The sequence below is a fragment of the Homo sapiens genome, chromosome 6, assembly GCF_000001405.40.
Source record: "Homo sapiens chromosome 6, GRCh38.p14 Primary Assembly".
In the NCBI taxonomy this organism is placed as follows: domain Eukaryota; kingdom Metazoa; phylum Chordata; class Mammalia; order Primates; family Hominidae; genus Homo; species Homo sapiens.
The window spans coordinates 98,933,831-98,950,823 of NC_000006.12; the positions used below are offsets into that span (position 1 = coordinate 98,933,831).

At 38.7% G+C, this 16,993-nt stretch overlaps 1 protein-coding gene across 10 annotated transcripts in view, besides 5 other annotated features; it reads right to left on the reverse strand.

The window, feature by feature from the left end:
- FBXL4 (F-box and leucine rich repeat protein 4) overlaps positions 1-14,116 on the reverse strand; it is a 79,412-nt gene extending 65,296 nt beyond the window's left edge. For 5 of the 10 annotated variants that reach the window (XM_047418626.1, XM_017010726.2, XM_005266930.4 and 2 more), the window contains exons 1-2: positions 13,976-14,116; positions 932-1,049 (exon numbers count right to left, since the gene is read on the reverse strand). The gene's annotated coding sequence lies outside the window, so the exon portion shown is untranslated. Of the gene's footprint in view, positions 1-931; positions 13,773-13,975 lie in introns of those variants that run through there. The other 5 variants (NR_103836.2, NR_103837.2, XM_017010727.3 and 2 more) reach the window with 2 other exon arrangements.
- Positions 13,006-13,195: an enhancer, noted in NCBI's record as "active region_24852". NCBI's record gives its function as "activates an Ori minimal core promoter by ATAC-STARR-seq in GM12878 lymphoblastoid cells {active_cell/tissue: GM12878}" and the evidence as "EXISTENCE:reporter gene assay evidence [ECO:0000049][PMID:35858748]".
- Positions 13,636-13,945: a silencer, noted in NCBI's record as "silent region_17413". NCBI's record gives its function as "represses an Ori minimal core promoter by ATAC-STARR-seq in GM12878 lymphoblastoid cells {active_cell/tissue: GM12878}" and the evidence as "EXISTENCE:reporter gene assay evidence [ECO:0000049][PMID:35858748]".
- Positions 13,999-14,510: an enhancer, noted in NCBI's record as "H3K27ac hESC enhancer chr6:99395705-99396216 (GRCh37/hg19 assembly coordinates)". NCBI's record gives its function as "activates a minimal SCP1, AML or CMV promoter by ChIP-STARR-seq in primed H9 embryonic stem cells {active_cell/tissue: H9 hESC(primed)}" and the evidence as "EXISTENCE:reporter gene assay evidence [ECO:0000049][PMID:30033119]".
- Positions 13,999-14,537: a biological region, named in NCBI's record as "Sharpr-MPRA regulatory region 5946".
- Positions 14,243-14,537: a silencer, noted in NCBI's record as "tiled region #5946; K562 Repressive DNase unmatched - State 1:Tss". NCBI's record gives its function as "represses a minimal TATA promoter and a strong SV40 promoter by Sharpr-MPRA in K562 cells {active_cell/tissue: K562}" and the evidence as "EXISTENCE:reporter gene assay evidence [ECO:0000049][PMID:27701403]".

Here is a 16,993-nt window from a genome sequence, read left to right on the forward strand (position 1 = left end):
GATGAAACCAGCAACTCTTCCTAAGGCACATGTAAACCAAAAAATGACACAAGAAATGTTCCATATCTTGATACAGAGATAAAGAGAGGAAACGGGTAATAAAAATTGAAGCGCAATAGGTAAGAATCAAATGTATGAACTTCTTTGAAGCCATCCAAGAAGGAATAGTACATATATTGAAATTTTACTGTTCAAAGAGAATGAAAAAAGTAGTAACTTCTGTTAGTACAAAAGCAGCTTCTGAATACATAAAAGAGTCTTGACTCTGGTCACAAAGAAACTCTGATTGAAATTAAAGAAAGATTCATGAAAGAGATGATTAGAGAGGTAAAAGAAAGCCATTTCCTCAAATACAATGATGTTTTTGCACTCCAAATCTGTGTTAAAACAGTACGTTGATTATGGAGAACTGGAAAAACTATGGCTGAAAAAGAATTTCTTAAAGAGATAACCTACAAGTTAAGAGAGAAGAGGCGGAGAATGGCTTGAACCCGGGAGGCGGAGGTTGCAGTGAGCCAAGATCGCACCACTGCACTCCAACCTGAGCAACAGAGTGAGACTCCGTCTCAAAAAAAAAAAAGAGAGAGAGAGACAGAAGAGACAGGCCGTAATATAACAGCAAAGGTAATAAGACAGCTTAATATTGTTCTCGTATTAGATGTGATATAAAGGAGCAAAGGCCAAGCATTAGAAAAAGCTCTGCTTTTTCTTCATCATAATTATTGATATTCTAATTGTACTAGATCTTAAAAAACTAACATTGAAAAAATCTAACAGTGTCAGCATGGAAACTACTCAGGATGGTATCTTAAGGCTTTATATGCCTCTCTCTTACTCTAAGTAAATTCTTCCCCAGTTAAAACATTTTTATTATGACTGTATTTTTTAATCAGTAAGGCCCCAAAGTAGAAAAAATAGGTGGCGTTCTTACCTGAAACATATGGATCAAGAGGAAGACTGGAGACTCCTATCCAGCTTCAAAGCTTCTTGAAAATCCAAGCGAATGAAGCAAATGGAGAAGGCAAGGGAACCAGGCCAGGAAGAAAAATCTAAAAGCAGAGCAAAAATCTCAAAAACCAGAGGTAAACAGTACCACTCTCTTCGAGGAATCAAGGTAGATCTCAAAAATGCAAGGAAATAATCCAAAAAGTCTGGAATACATTAGACTGTGCAAAAACCTCTGGTGAGTTAATGAATAAAGGGCAGGAACTAAGCAAGAGGTACCCAAGAAGTCAAGTAGGAATGAATTTATCAGAAAACAAGAGATAAGATTTAGAACCAATTTAAACTAGGAATTGAGAAAGGTTACTTCTGCAGAATATGTTCTTTCTTTCCTAGACTTTCTTTAACAAGCATATCTAAACTTCTGAAATATTTCATAATCAATCTTTAGTAGCAAGAAAAGCAGAAAAAGGAACTGAAGGAATCTTTTTTTTTTTTTTAAGTAGAGCTATAGGATGAGTGGAATGGTTTTTTGTTTTTTTTTTTTCTGATATAATGGATCTGGAAACCCTCTTCCTGCCCAACATGCTATCTCACAAAGTGAAAAGAAAGGATATGTTTCTAATTACACAGGTACGATGATACAACATAACTTAGAAATAGATTCCACTGTTATATTACCTATATATTACCTTTTTCTTCAGTGTTTAACGATGGGTAAGAATAAGCCATCTGGGCCGGGCGCGGTGGCTCACGCCTGTAATCCCAGCACTTTGGGAGGCCGAGGCGGGTGGATCATGAGGTCAGGAGATCGAGACCATCCTGGCTAACAAGGTGAAACCCCGTCTCTACTAAAAATACAAAAAATTAGCCGGGCGCGGTGGCGGGCGCCTGTAGTCCCAGCTACTCGGGAGGCTGAGGCAGGAGAATGGCGTGAACCCGGGAAGCGGAGCTTGCAGTGAGCCGAGATTGCGCCACTGCAGTCCGCAGTCTGGCCTGGGCGACAGAGCGAGACTCCGTCTCAAAAAAAAAAAAAGAATAAGGCATCTGAATGAGAAGAACTGTGACTCTGGAATAACCCTAAATCTTTAGCAGATATGCAATGATATTTAACTAAAATATTAAAAATTGGAGATATCTGGCTGAGGATAAATTTAAGGAACTTACTGAAGAAAGAAAAAATGATATTTTGTTTGTTAAAGTCATACTAATTATGTGAATTTACTTTAGCCAAATACTAGCCATATATTTTTGTACATTAACATAGAGAACATTTTACCTAGAAAAAAATATAGTGGATTTACACCCTGCCAAACAAAAATCCAAGGACAATACACCTGTCATAGCTTGCCATTATAGCTAAAATAGCAACTAATTAAAATGGTGTAATACTGTTAAATTAACTTTAGTATAAAATGTACCCCACTTTAAGCATATAATTTGATGAGTTTTGACAATGACAGAAACCAACATAACCACCACCAAAATCAAGATACAGAATATTACCACTAGCCTAAAAGGATCCCTGGTCAATCACCCATCCACAACCTATGCCAAGCAAAAACTGATCTGCTTTCTGTCACTACAAACCAGATTGTCCTTTATTCCAGAATTATATGAAAGTGAAATAATATGGTATGTATGGCTAACCCTTAACACAGGTTTGAACTGTGTGGGTCCACTTATATGTGCCTTTTCTTCTGTCTCTGCGATCTCTGAAACAGCAAGACTGACCCATCCTCTTCCTCCCTCTTAGTCTATTTAACATGACGACAATGAGGATGAATACCTTTATGATGACCTATTTCCACTTAATGAGGAGTAAATATATTTTCTTTTCCTCATGATTTTCTTAATATTTTCTTTCTCTAGCCTATTTCATTGTAAGAATACAGTATACAATACATATAACATATAAAACATATATTAACCAACTGTATATGTTATCAGTAAGGCTTCCAGTCAACCATAGGCTATTCAGTGGTAGTTAAGCTTATGGGGAGTAAAAAATTATAGCTGGATCAACTGCATGGGGGATTGGCACCCCTAACCTTCATGTTGTTTGAGGATCAACTGTATTATTTTGTGTCTAGCTTATTTTGTTCAGTCTATCTTCCAGATTTACCCATGATGCTATGTGTTAAGAGTAGTTCAGTTCCTTTTTATTCTGAATCAAATCCCATTATACAGTTGACCCTTGAACAATGTATGGGATTGGGGCACTGACCCCCTATGCAGTAAAAAAATCTGAATATAGGCTGGAATAGTGGCTCATGCCTGTAATCCCAGCATTTTGGGAAACTGAGGCAGGTGGATCACCAGAGGTCAGGAGTTTGAGACCAGCCTGGCCAATAGGGAAAAACCCTGTCTCTACTAAAAATACAAAAATTAAACAGTTGTGGTGGCACACACCTATAATCCCAACTACTCAGGAGGCTGAGGCAGGAGAATCACTTGAACCTGGGAGGCAGAGGTTGCAGTGAGCCGAGATTGTGCCACTGCACTCCAGCCTGGGTGACTTCGTCTCAAAAAAAAAAAAAAATCTGAATATAACTTTTGACTCACCCAAAACTTTACTAATAGGCTACTGTCGACCAGAAGGCTTACCAATAACATAAACAGTTGATTAACATATTTTGTAAGTTATATAATTTATGCTTATAATAAAGTAAGCTAGAGAAAAGTACTGTTAACAAAATCATAAGGAAGAGAAAATATATTGACTACTCATTAAGTGAAAGTGAATCACCACAAAGGTCTTCGATCTGATCTTCATGTTGAGTAGGCTGAGAAGGGAGGAGGAAGAGGAGGGGTGGTCCTTGCCATTTCAGGATACAGGGTGAAAGTGATGGAGGAGGTGTAAAAAGAGGCAGGAGAGGCAGGCACACTCGGTGCAATTTTGTGGAAATATACTATAAATTCTGCCTGACTTTTTGCTATTTCATTTCTCCAAAAATATCTCTATACAGTACCAATCCTTCTTCCACCATTTGCTTTAGTTTCAGTGTCCATGTCATAGAAGGGTCCATGTTGTAAAAGAAGTCAAAACTGTCCAGAATAATTGGAACTTTCTGCCAAATTGTCTAATGTCAATTTGTTTTCTGGCACTGCCTCTTTTATGTCTTCTTCCTCGTCATCTGGCACTAATTCAGAAACACTCGTCTCCACCAAGTTGTTTTCTGTTAACTCCTTTGGTGTGGAGTCTATTAGCTCTTGAATTTCTCTAAGATCCATATCTTGAAACCCTTCATCCTCCTCCCCCTGCACCCTTTTTTTTTTTTTTTTTTGCCCTATCTACAATCTCTTTCATGATTTCCTTGATTGGTTCTGTCATATATCCTGTGAAGTCATGTACACTATTGGTAGAGTTTTCTTTAGTTTTCTTATTGTTTGAGTCTTGATGGCCTTCACAGTTTTTTCTGTAACAATGGCATATTCAATGGTGTAATCCTTCCAAACTTACAGGTTCTCTCTGTTGAGGTTCTCATCCATAGAGTTCACAGTTCTTTCCATAGAGTACCATGTATAGTAAGCCTTAAAGTTCCTTACAACCCCCTGATCTGGAGGCTGAATTAGGGACATTGCATTTGGGGACATGTGGAATATACTTCGACACCTTCAGTGTTAAACTCGTGGAGTTCTGGGTGGCCAGGGACATTGTCTGATACCAAAAGAACTTTAAAAGGCAGTCCCTTATAGCAAGGTATTAATACTTCCTGACTTCAGGGACAAAGCATTGATGAAATCAATCAAGAAAAAGAACTCTGATTGTCCAGGCCTTCCTGTTACATAACGAAAAGACTGATAACTGGCATTTACCTTTTCCCTTTAAGGCTGGGGGTTAGTAGCTTTATAAATAAGCAGTCTTGATCATAAACCCAGATACATTTGCACAAAACACCAGAGTTAGTCTATCCCTTCCTGCCTTAAATCCTGGTGCTTGCTTTACTTCTTTAATAATAAATGTCTTTTGTGGCATTTTTTTTTTCCAGAATAGGGCACTTTGTCTGCATTCAAAACCTGACTGAGGCTGGGCACAGCGGCTCATGCCTGTAATCCCAGTACTTTGGGAGGCCAAGGCAGAAGGATCACTGGAGACCAGGAGTTTAAGACCAGCCTAAGAAACATAGGGAGACCCTGCCTCTACAAAAATAAAAAATAAAAAATTAGCTAAGTGTGGTGGTGTGCACCTGTAATCCTAGCTATTTGGGAGGACTGTTTCCACCTCAGGAGGCTGGGGCTACAGTAAGCTGTGATCATGCCATTGCACTTCAGCCTGGGTGACAGAGCAAGACCTTGTCTCAAAAAAAAAAAAAAAAAAAAAAAAAAAGAGAAGAGAAAGGAAAAGACAAGACAGGAGGGAGGGAGGAAGGGAGATGAAATGAAACGAAACGAAATGAAATGAGAGAGAGAAAGAATCCCATTTAAGCAGATATCCTTTCTCCTCAATTATTTTAATGGTATCTGGGAAATCATCTGCTGCCTCTTGAACAGTAGCAGCTGCTTTCCTGTTATCTTAACATACATAAAGCCAAACTTCTTTCTACAATTATCAAACCATCCTTTGCTGGCATTAAATTCTCTAGCTTTCTATCCTTCACCTTCTTTTTGCTTTAAGCTGTCATACATTAACTTCACTTTCTCTCAAATCATATTAGAGTCTACAAGCATGTCTTTCTTATAGCAATCCTGCACCCACATAAGAACTGCATTTTCAATATGAGATAAAGTGGTATTTCACAAAAAGTGCAAGGTTTTGCACCTGCTGGTATAGTTGTAGCAACAGCTACATAAATTCTCTTTTCTTTTTTCACAGTGGTCCTTTTGCTGGATTCGTTTATCTTGAAATGACAGGTAACCATAGCTGCAGACTGTAATCTATGGTACATAACAAGCAATTCCATTTTTGCTTGTAATGTCATGACTTCTCGCTGCTACTTGGAATCACTTCCGACATTACCAGTGGCACTTTCTAAGGGTCCCATGGTGTTATTCAAAGTTTATGGTATTACACTAAGCATGATGAAAAATACGTGAGAATCACAAGAAATCACTTCTTACTGTAATACACAATTTACTAGAGACAAACTGCTCATGTGTCGATGATTAGCTTCACACAGCATTGGAAGCTGATACCTGCAATATTTAAGCTCACTGCAATAGTAACTGGAGGTGATCATCAAATTATTACAGTAGTACAGTATGTACCACAGCTAATTTTATGCAGTTATGATTTAATACTGAATTTACATTTGTTTACATTTCTCTGAACTGCAAATGGAAGCATGTACATTCTGTAAGTGTGTGACTACCTTTTGAAAAAGTTTAATTTTTTATAATATATATGTGTGCTATTCATGGCAGTAAATTATAAAATAGACTAGTATCTACATATATTTTATTTATTTGTGAAATACCTTTTTTTGATATTTCTAGGCTACACAATTTGCAAGTTTTTCAAATTGTTGCAAATCTCCAAAATTTTTCTATATTTATTGAAAAAAACTGCATATAAGCATATCTTCACAGTCCAAACCCATGTTGTTCAAGGGTCAGCTACATTGGTATATCAATTCAGTTGTTGCTAAACATTTGGCTTGTTTCTAGTATCAAGCCATTTCCAAAGTGGCTGTAGCATTTTACATTCTGACATCAACATATGAGAGTTCCAGTTGCTCCACATCCTCATCAATAGTTAATATTGTCAATCTTCATCCATTCTAGTGGGTGGGTGGTGATACCCTGTGGTTTTAATTTGAATTTCTTAATTGATTAATGACATGGAACATCTTTTCACGTGCTTATTTGCCATTTATATCTTCTTTAGTGCAGTGTCTATTTTCTAATCTTTTTTTTGTTGTTGTTTCCTTACTATGGAGTTGTAAGAGTTCTTTACACACACTAGATACAATTTCTTTGTTAGACAGATGTTTTTGCAAATGTTTTCTCCCAGTCTGTGCTTGCCTTTTCATCTACTTGAAAATATCTTTTTTTCTCTTATGGGATACTTGTACATGTCCTAGCAAACATATTACCGAAGAGCAAGATCAAGTACAGTTTCAAAAGAGTAAACCCTGAGAAAGTATTTCATCTTAGACCTGGGAAGTATTTGCTCTTAAGGGAAGACCTGGGAAGAGTTAACTACAAATTAATCAAATTTTAAGATACCAAATTAGATTCTGCAAACATTTCTAGTGGGAATGCAAAATCATATAGCCACTTTGAAAAACAGTTTCACGGTTTATTATAAAGGTCCATCCGCCCTTACCAAACCATCCAGCAATCCCATTCCGAGGTATTTACTCAAGTGTACTGAAAACCTACATCCAACCAAAAACCTGTATACAAATGTTTATAGCAGATTTATTCATAATTGTTGCAACTTGGAAACATCTAAGATGTCCTTGACAGATGCATGTACAGTGTTACATCCATACAATGAGTTACTACTCAGGAAAAAAAAAAAGAAAGAACCACCAATCCAGGCAATAATATAGATGAATCTTAAAATGCATTTTGTTAAGTGACAGAGGTCTGATGCAAAAACTACATATTGTATGATTTCATTTATGTGATACTTTGGAAAAGGCAAATAGGAAAGGCAGATAAATCAGTGATTGCCCAGGGTTAAGGGAAGAAAGAGAAATTGACTAAAGTAACCACAAAGGGGCCACACAAGGAATTTTTAGGATGATGTAACTGTTCTGTGTGCTTTTGTTTTCAGTCAAAACAAGTCAAGCTGTAAATCCGATACTCTAGTATTGATTTGGTTATGCACACGCTAGCTTACTTGTCTGTTCTCTTTAAAGATATCTACTAGTTGGCATGTTCTGCCCACTTGTTCTGCCCAGGGCAAAGCCTGCTCACACAGCCCCAACCACTCATCTTGCCTTAGGAAACTACCTGTCTGGAAAACAGAATAGTGACCTTCATGACATGAAATACTTCAGACCAGGACCAAGATGGTCAACATAGATCTGCATTTATATGTCTGAATAGAATTAACCATTTTAAAGACAGGGAAACAAGTTAAGCAATTACAGCAAATGGCATTCAGGAAAAGTTAAAGCCAAAATTAGGACAATAGTTTTTTTTAAAAATCATTGTTTAGTGTTAATTAATAGGTTATAGGATCCATGAAATAAGCACAAACTAACTTAAAAAAATTCTTAGAAGAGGTGGTGACTGAAATAAATTGAAAATTAAGAGACAAATAAATGACCTAGAGCACATATACAAGAAACCTAACATCTATATAAGATAAAGACTGAAGCTAATTTAAGTTCAAGGAAATTCTAAAGGAAAAAAAAAATGGCTCAAACTCTTATTCACATAGAAAAAACAAAATTAAATAAAAAATATTCTAGATATGCAAGTATACTTCCCATAACTCTTCCTGAAACTATTACTTAAAAATGTATGCCAGTTAAAAAAAAAAACAACAGAATTAAATACTTCAAAAACAGGGAAGACATACTATTCAAGTAACAGTGACCTTATAGTTAAATCTAAGTGATACGATACTAGCAAAATTTTAAAAAATGGTTAGAAAAAAACAAACAAACAGAAGAACTACTGATATGGTTTGCATCTGTGTCTGCATCAAAATCTAACAGTGAAATGTAATCCCCAGTGCTGGAGGTGGGGCCTGGAAGGTGATTGGATCATGGGGGTGGTTTCTCATGGTTTAGCACTATGCCCCTAGTGGTGTTCTCATATGAGTTCTGAAGAGATCTTTTTGTTTCAAAGCATATAGCGCATCCCCCACTCTCTTCCTTCTGCTCCTGCCATGTAAGACCCTTGCTCCTGCTTTGCCTGCCACAATGATTGTAAATTTCCTGAGGCCTCGCAGAAGCCTAGCAGATGACAGCACCATGCTTCCTGTACAGCCTGTGGAACTGTGAGCCAATTAAACCTCTTTACTTTATAAATTACCCAGTCTCAGGTATTTCTTTATAGCAATGTGGGAACAGAATATTACAACTATAGAAAAGAAATCAAATCAATAAAACCAAGAATGTAAAGAAGGCAAGAGATCCAGGTCTCAACTTATTAATGGGAAGAATGAGGGCAAAAAAGAGTCAGTTATAGATGGTTTCAGAATTTCCAAACTTGCAGGAGAGGGGAAAAAATAGTTAATATGACTAGATTAAATTGTCCTATTAAGAGATAAACCCAATTTTGTACAAGGTAACCTTGTGATGGAACTGTTGTATATTCTGACTGTGGTAGTGTTCACAGGAATCTACATAAAATTACTTACAACTAAACAGGCACAGGGATGGGTACAAGTAAAACTGGTGAAATCTGAATAAGGTCTATAGATTGTATCAATGTCAATTTCCTGAGTATAATATTGTACTGTAGTTATGCAAGGTGTTACCATAGGTGGAAACTGGGTGAATGTACACAGGATCTAGATCTCTGTATTATTTCTTACAACTGTATATGAATCTACAATGATCTTTTTTAAAAGTTTTATAAAATGTAAAACAAAAAAAAAAAGGACAAAATTCCAGGCCGGGCACAGTGGCTCACACCTGTAACCCCAGCACGTTGGGAGGCCAAGGCGGGTGGATCACTTGAGCCCAGGAGTTTGAGACCAGCCTGGGCAACATGGTGAAGCCCCATCTCTACAAAAAACACAAAAATTAGCCAGGTATTGTGGCATGCACCTGCAGTCCAGGCTACTTGAGAGGCTGAGGCAGGAGGATCACTTAAGTCCAGGAGATGGAGGTTGCAGTGAGCCAAAATTACACATTACACCACTGCACTCCAGCATGGGTGACAGAGCAAGACTCTGTCTCAAAAAAAAAAAAAAAAAAAAAGAAGACAAACTTCCAAATTGGCAAGGGGGAAGATTTCAGGGAGAAATAAAAGTTCAGCTCAGTTACATGAATGTTTGATGTTTATGAAAGGCAAGTAAAGCAAAATGGTGTAAAATGACTGAAAATAAACATAATAAACATATGGACAAAAAAGACCTATCAGGTACACACAAAACTGACAGAGAGGCAAAAGTCATATAAGACAATGTAGACTCCCAGCCAAAAAATCACTAAACAGGGCAAAAAAGATACTTCATATTCTTTAAGATAAAATCCACTAAGAACAATTACACATATTATCTTTAAGGCTGAATTCAACCAAAATCATAATCACAGTAAACATCTAACATACTTTGCTTACTAATTTGTTGGCTTTGAGAAAAACAACAAATTAAGGATATAGTATCTTACAACAAATGTGTCAAATCAAATAACAGGGAAAGGACAGTTTATCAAAATAAATGTTTTAGGAAAATGTCCAGCAATTTGGAAAAATAAATTTGTAATAGTATGCCATAGCAACCATTTTTAAAAATCTATATCTATGATAACAGAATGTGTACAAAGAGTATTTTAATAATCTTCCGGTGGAAACCCAGAGGCCGTAAAGGAAAACAACAGCAGAACTGGCAACATAAATATTAAAGATTTTTATAAAGCAAAAGCCCCAAGAAACACTAAAGAATAGACTATGAGAAAATACTAGCAAATGGTGAACCAAATCATTAATAGCCACAATATGTAAAGAGCTATTACAAATCAATTAGAAAAGAGGAACATTTCAACAGAAACCTAAGCAAGGGATATGATCATGCAAGTAAAAACGAATACAAATGACCAACAAACATACAGATAGTCAACCTCATCAATAAGCAAAGAAATGCAATACTAAAACAATAAAATAGCATTTTTCATCCATAAAATTACTAAATATAAAAAATAATCATTTCATCTTAGCAGGCCTCTCAAGTTTCTGCATATCATATAAGTAGAGGCACTGACGGCCTTTATTTTTTATCTTTTCAGTGGTGTTTATATAGCAAATAGCCTTGGCAGATAAAGAGATGTCTCCCTCTGGTACAGAGGGCAGGTTTGTTTACCATGTGGGAAAATAAAGATAATGTCTCCCTCTCTGGCAAAGATCAGACAGCTTTATTTGCAGCCCACTATGAAAGATTCAGGTTCCCTAAACTAAGGACTCCTCTCCTGTAACATAACCTACTTCATCTGCTAGTGTCACTGGGCTCTTATCACATCACCCTGTGGAAATCAGGGTTCCAGCAAATCAGCATAAGATGATCCTCTGGCTACCGTTCCTGTTGTGCTTTGTCTCTGAGTCAGGAGTCTCATATTTTCTGCCAGTTTCCATGAAACTGTTAGCTTGCAAGTAGGGTATGATCTCAGATCCTTGACAATTCTTGGCAATGTGATATGGCAAAAGCAATATTTTAACAAATTGTATAAATTTACTCTTACCAACAACTTTTGAGGAGCACTTTGGCAGAATCTCTCATAATTTAACACTTATGTGTAGCCTCTGACCTAGCAATTCCATATCTTAGGAAATGAACTAACATGCAAACATGACAGTATACAGAATAAACACAAAAATGATCCTTGCAGTTCTGTTTGTAATAAATTTGGAATAATGCCAACAGGGGACTGGCTAAATAACTTTTGGGTTATTCCTACAATGAAATACCAAAAGACTTACAAAAAAGACAAGATACTATTATATGCACTGACACAGAAGGATGTTTATCAATTATTATTAAGTGGAAGCTATAGAAAATTATAGATGGTACACTGCCATTTATGAAACAAAAGTAGACTTAAATATATTTATTTTTAAAATCTGCAAGCAGTGATCATCTTTATGGAACAAGGTTACTGGGTAGGTGGGCACACAGCACTTTCACTTCCTCCTTTAAGGATTTCTGTATTGCTTGATCTTTTTTAAAGAATGCATACATTTATTTCATGGGCTAATAAAGTTTTAAGTGTCCAGTGTAAAATTTATTATATTTTAGATATCCAGTTGTGATGGTAAAATACAAATGGATATGAGGATATCTTCCTCATATCCCAGGGAACACTTCTACAGCCATTTATCTCTTAGATAACCATTTTTCTCTTAGAAACCAGGTACAGAACATCCTAAATCACAGGTGATGGGGAGAGACACACTACAGTTACTATGACACGGTGCAAAGTCAAAAGGCATGCAGATTTTTAATCAGGCTGCTTCTCTATGTAACTGTAAGGAGCAACTCTAGTCGCAAGTTCTGAATGAGCAACAGAAGGGATTTATTTACTAACAGTTAATGATTCAACTGACCATGGAAAAAGCAAGCTAAAATAAATGAATCTCAATAACTGGCAGGAAAATTTTAAAGGGGGGAGGGAGGCAAGAGGTAAAGAAAGGGAATCAACTTGCCCCCACTAAATGTGTTCATTTCAAAAATATTTAGTGATGTCTACAATATGCCAGGCATCGTTCAAATCCCTAGATATTAAAACACATTATAAACCTAGAGCAATAAGAGCATCACAGAAGCCAGGATCACCACAGGGAGCCAAAGAATACTAGACCGTTCAGAAAGTCCCAAGAATACACGGGAATTTAGGGCCTATGGTATTTATAGGACTGATCAGCAGGGAAAAATAGAATTCCAACAAATGATGATGGAGTCACTAACAAAATTATAAAGTTAGAGCCTTCTTATCTCACATTAAATATAAATAAGATCATTAACAATACTAGAAGAAAACGGAGGTGGATATTTATATACAATTCATGTAGATAAAGGCCTTTTTTAAAGGACACTGTGTTAGATCCGCGAAGTTAAGATCGAGAATGTTAACCGCAGCAACATTAAGAGGATGAGACTAACACAGTAAAGAAAGAAGGGGCAGTTTTTGTTAACTGACCATATGTGCAAGTACCATATGTACCATTGTACAGAGTACTATAATCGCATTATTTCATCACGGCGTGAGTAAAGAAATTATCCATCTTACAATGAGTTGACTTATCTGATTTTCAAATAACAGAAGGGAAGAGTTTGAAAATGCAGAGTTCAGAAAAGCCAACTTTTGGCGCAGAAGTTTAAAACAAAGTTAGTACTCAGAACATAAGTATGGAAAGAAGAATCCAATTCAAGGAACTTTTAGAGTGCCTACTAAAGCATAATGCACATTTCCCTCAAGTCCTTAATCTGATAAAGGACTATTGGAGCGCTGATGACTCTGGATGAATCTCTCTCTACTCAACCAACAGATACAATATGCGGTACAGGATAATGGAGGCAGGAAGTGAGCCTGAAAGAAAAAAATATATACCTATAGCTGAACTTAAGAAACCAAGGAGTGCACGCAAGAACCAGAAAAGGCAGCTTGTGTCTGTGAACAGACCAAAGCAAGCAGAGATCCCTGCACCTGGTGGTAATGTGCCCTCCGGAGCACAAAGCCAGACGGGCATCCTGCCAACGCAACTACCTGACCACAGGCTTATACCATCTTCACCTTCTATAATAGTTATTTGTATACTGTATTTCAATCTGTGAATGCATCTCGAAGGTTTGTGGCAATGATTACTGGGAAATCAAGGAAATCCAAAACCACCCGTTATAAATATGTCGACAAGGAGGCCAAGTAGATGGTCATCATCACACTCTAGGGGCACCCCTAAACCTAAACACAGAAACAAGGTTGTAGCTGGGCACCCTGTAGCAGTCCTGAAGAAAGAAAACAGGCCTGGTTAGGCAAAAACCATCGGATGTCAGAGGGAAATCAAGGCAGCAGGCACAGGAATCACAAGCACAGGCGGGCATGTGGCCGACGCGTGGCTGCCGGCGCAGCACTGAGCGCGGGTGTGGGGCGACCCGCAGTCCCCCGCGGTGTAAACAACCCTGAGCCGCGCACACGTCCGAACGACGCCTCACAGCCTGCAGGCAGACTGTAGCGTAGAAAGAGCCCGAGGCACGTCAGCAGTTCTCAAGGGCCCCAGCAAGCCCCGCAAGCGTGAAGCGGAGGCGCGGGGGCGCGGGGCCGCGGGCGGGGAGGGGCGGGCAGCGGGGGCCTCTGCCAGGCGTCCAGACTCCCCAAAGCGCGGAGCTGCGCGCTGGCTCGGCCCCGGCCCCGCCCCGGCGCCAAAGGAAGAAGACAGAGACCCACGGGAGGGAGAAGTAAAGGAAGGGCCGTACCCTGCAGGGTCCGGGAGAGGCGCGCGCCGCGGGCTTCACCAGCGACCAGGCAGCGCGAGAAGGCCTGGGTGCGGGGGCGGCTCCCCGACTCTCTAGATGCGGCACAACCGCCGCAAGCCCGGCCTAGCGCGACCCGGAAGGAAGACGCGGAGGCCGCGAGGAGCGGCGGGCCCGGGGAGGCGGGGCGGAGCCGGGGAGGAGGGGCGGGGCCGCGGGGTTGGGGCGGGGCCGGGGAGGCGGGGCGGGGCCTGGAGGGAGGCGGGGCGGGGCCAGAAGCAAAGCCGGGCGTTTCTCCCATGGGAGGTGCTCTGGGTCCTACGGACAGCCCGCTCCCAGGCCAGGGGGAGGAGCTTTCTGCTGGCTTCCTAGCTCCAGTGGTGCCCGTGTAAAGGGCCTAGGTCATACACAGCGGGTAGTGTCTACAAATCCTCTTCGGAATAATCCCTTCCGAGTACCGGCTCGCCATGTGTAGTGTGGTCCTACAAGGACTTCTTCAGTCCAGACTTGGTGGATCAGATGATACATAGGTAATACGGCTGGTACGCATACGTAGAGGAAAAGTATAATATACATTATATGCACTCTGAAGGTATAATTCACCTAGTTTACAAACCTCCTCTTCCCTGCATACAAATCCTGCCTGCAGGCTCATTTCCATACCAACGTTCAGAAGCCTCTGACCATTACCTCTGATGAAGAAGATGGTCTGGCAGCCTCTCTTACTCATTTTGATTTATTTTTGGTAGATTCAGTATGGCACTTTATTTATTTATTTATGTATTTTTTGAGACGGAGTCTCGCTCTGTCGCCAGGCTGGAGTGCAGTGGCGCGATCTCGGCTCACTGCAACCTCCACCTCCCAGGTTCAAGCGATTCTCCTGCCTCAGCCTCCCGAGTAGCTGGGACTACAAGGGCGCCAAGCTAATATTTTGTATTTTTAGTAGAGACGGGGTTTCACCATATTGGCTAGGATGGTCTTGATCTCCTGACCTTGTGATCCACCTGCCTCAGCCTCCTAAAGTGCTGGGATTACAGCCGTGAGCCACCGCGCCCGCCCTTGGCACTTTTTTTAGTTTGCATCATATTTATCTTGTTACAAAATATCCACTAAGATGGAAAATATTTAATAAAATGTTGAACTACACATTATTTGCTGTCTGAATGCTCCAATGAGGCAAACCAGTAAGGATATTTACTTATATATGAACAGAATCAATATATGATATGCAATATACATTGTATACAAAAAAATTAAAATTTTTATTTTCTTCAACTTTTTGATGCATAATAGCTGTACATATTTTCAGGGTATATGTGATAATTTGATTCATTTCTGTAATCAAATCAGCATAACTGGGTTACTCATCCCCTTAAATATTTATCTTTTCTTTGTGCTAGGAACATTCAAATTGTTCTCTTCTGGCTATTTTGACATGTACTATTGATAAATGTTAGCTGTAGTCACCCTACTGATCTATGGAACACCGGGTCTTATTTCTTCTAAGTGTATGTTTCTTCTAAGTGTATGTTTACCTCCCCTTGCTCCCCCATGGCCCACCCCCCCAATACTTCTCAGTCTCTGAGATCCACTTTCTGAACTCCCACATATGAGTGAGAACATGCATTATTTGCCTTTCTGTGCTTGGCTTATTTCACTCATCATAATGACCTCCAGTTCTATCCATGTTTGTTGCAAATAAAAGGATTTTGTGGAGGGTTTTATGGCTGAATAATATTCTATTGTGTATATGTACCCCATTTTCTTTATCCATTCATCTGTTGCGCGGACACTTAGGTCAATTCTAAATCTTGGCTATTGTAAATAGTGCTGCAATAAACATAGAAGTGCAGATATCTCTTTGATATATGTATTTCCTTTCTGTTGGATCTATACCCAATAGTAGAATTGCTGAATCATATAGTAGTTCTATTTTTAGTTTTTTGAAGAATCTTCAAACAGTTTTTCACAGTGGCTCTAGTAATATTCATTCCTGCCAACAGTGCACACGGGTTCCCCTTTCTCCACATTCTCACCAGTATCTTTTGTTCCTGGCTTTTTTTTTTTTTTTTTTTTTTTGATAAAAGCCATTCTCACTGGGGTGAGATATCTCATTGTTTTGATTTGCATTTATCTGATGATTAGTGATAAGGAGCATTTTTTCATATACCAGTTGGCCATTTGTATGTCTTCTTTTGAGAAATGCCTGTTCAGATCTTCTGCCCATTTTTTAATTGGATTATTTGTTTTTGTTTTTGTTTTTGTTTTTGCTTTCCTATTGAGTTGTTTGAGCTCCTTATATAAAATATTCTGGTTATTAATCCCTTGTTAAATAAATAGTTTGCAAATATTTTCTCCCATTCTGTGGGTTGTCTCTTCACTTGATTGTTTCCTTTGCTATGCAGAAGCTTTTAAGCTTGATGTTATCCCATTTGTCTATTTTCACTTTTGTTGCCTATGTGTTTCAGATCTTAACCAAAAAGATAAGATCTTGCCCAGACTTATGTCATGGAGACTTTTCCCTATGCTTTCTTCTAGAAGTTTCATAGTTTTGGGTCTTAAATTTAAGCCTTTAATCCATTTTGACTTGACTTTTCTATATGGTGAGAGATAAGGTTCTAATTTCATTTTTCTGCGTGTGGACATTAGTTTTTGCCAACACTGTTGAACAGACTGTCCTTTCTCCATTGTGTGTTCTTGGCACCTTTTGTAAAAAAAGCAATTGACCATAGATGTGTGGCTTTATTTCTGGCCTCTATATTCTGTTCCATTAGTTAATGTGTCTGTTTTTATGCCACTACCATGCTGTTTCGATTGCTATAGCTTTGTAATATATTTTGAAGTGACGTATTGTGATGACTTCAGCTTTATTCTTTTTGCTCAACATTGTTTTCTCTATCCAGGATTTTCTGTGGTTCCATACAAATTTTAGGATTTTTTTTTCTATTTCTGGGAAGAACATCATTGATATATTGTTAGAGACTGCATTGAATATGTAGATTGCTTTGGGTAGGTATGGAC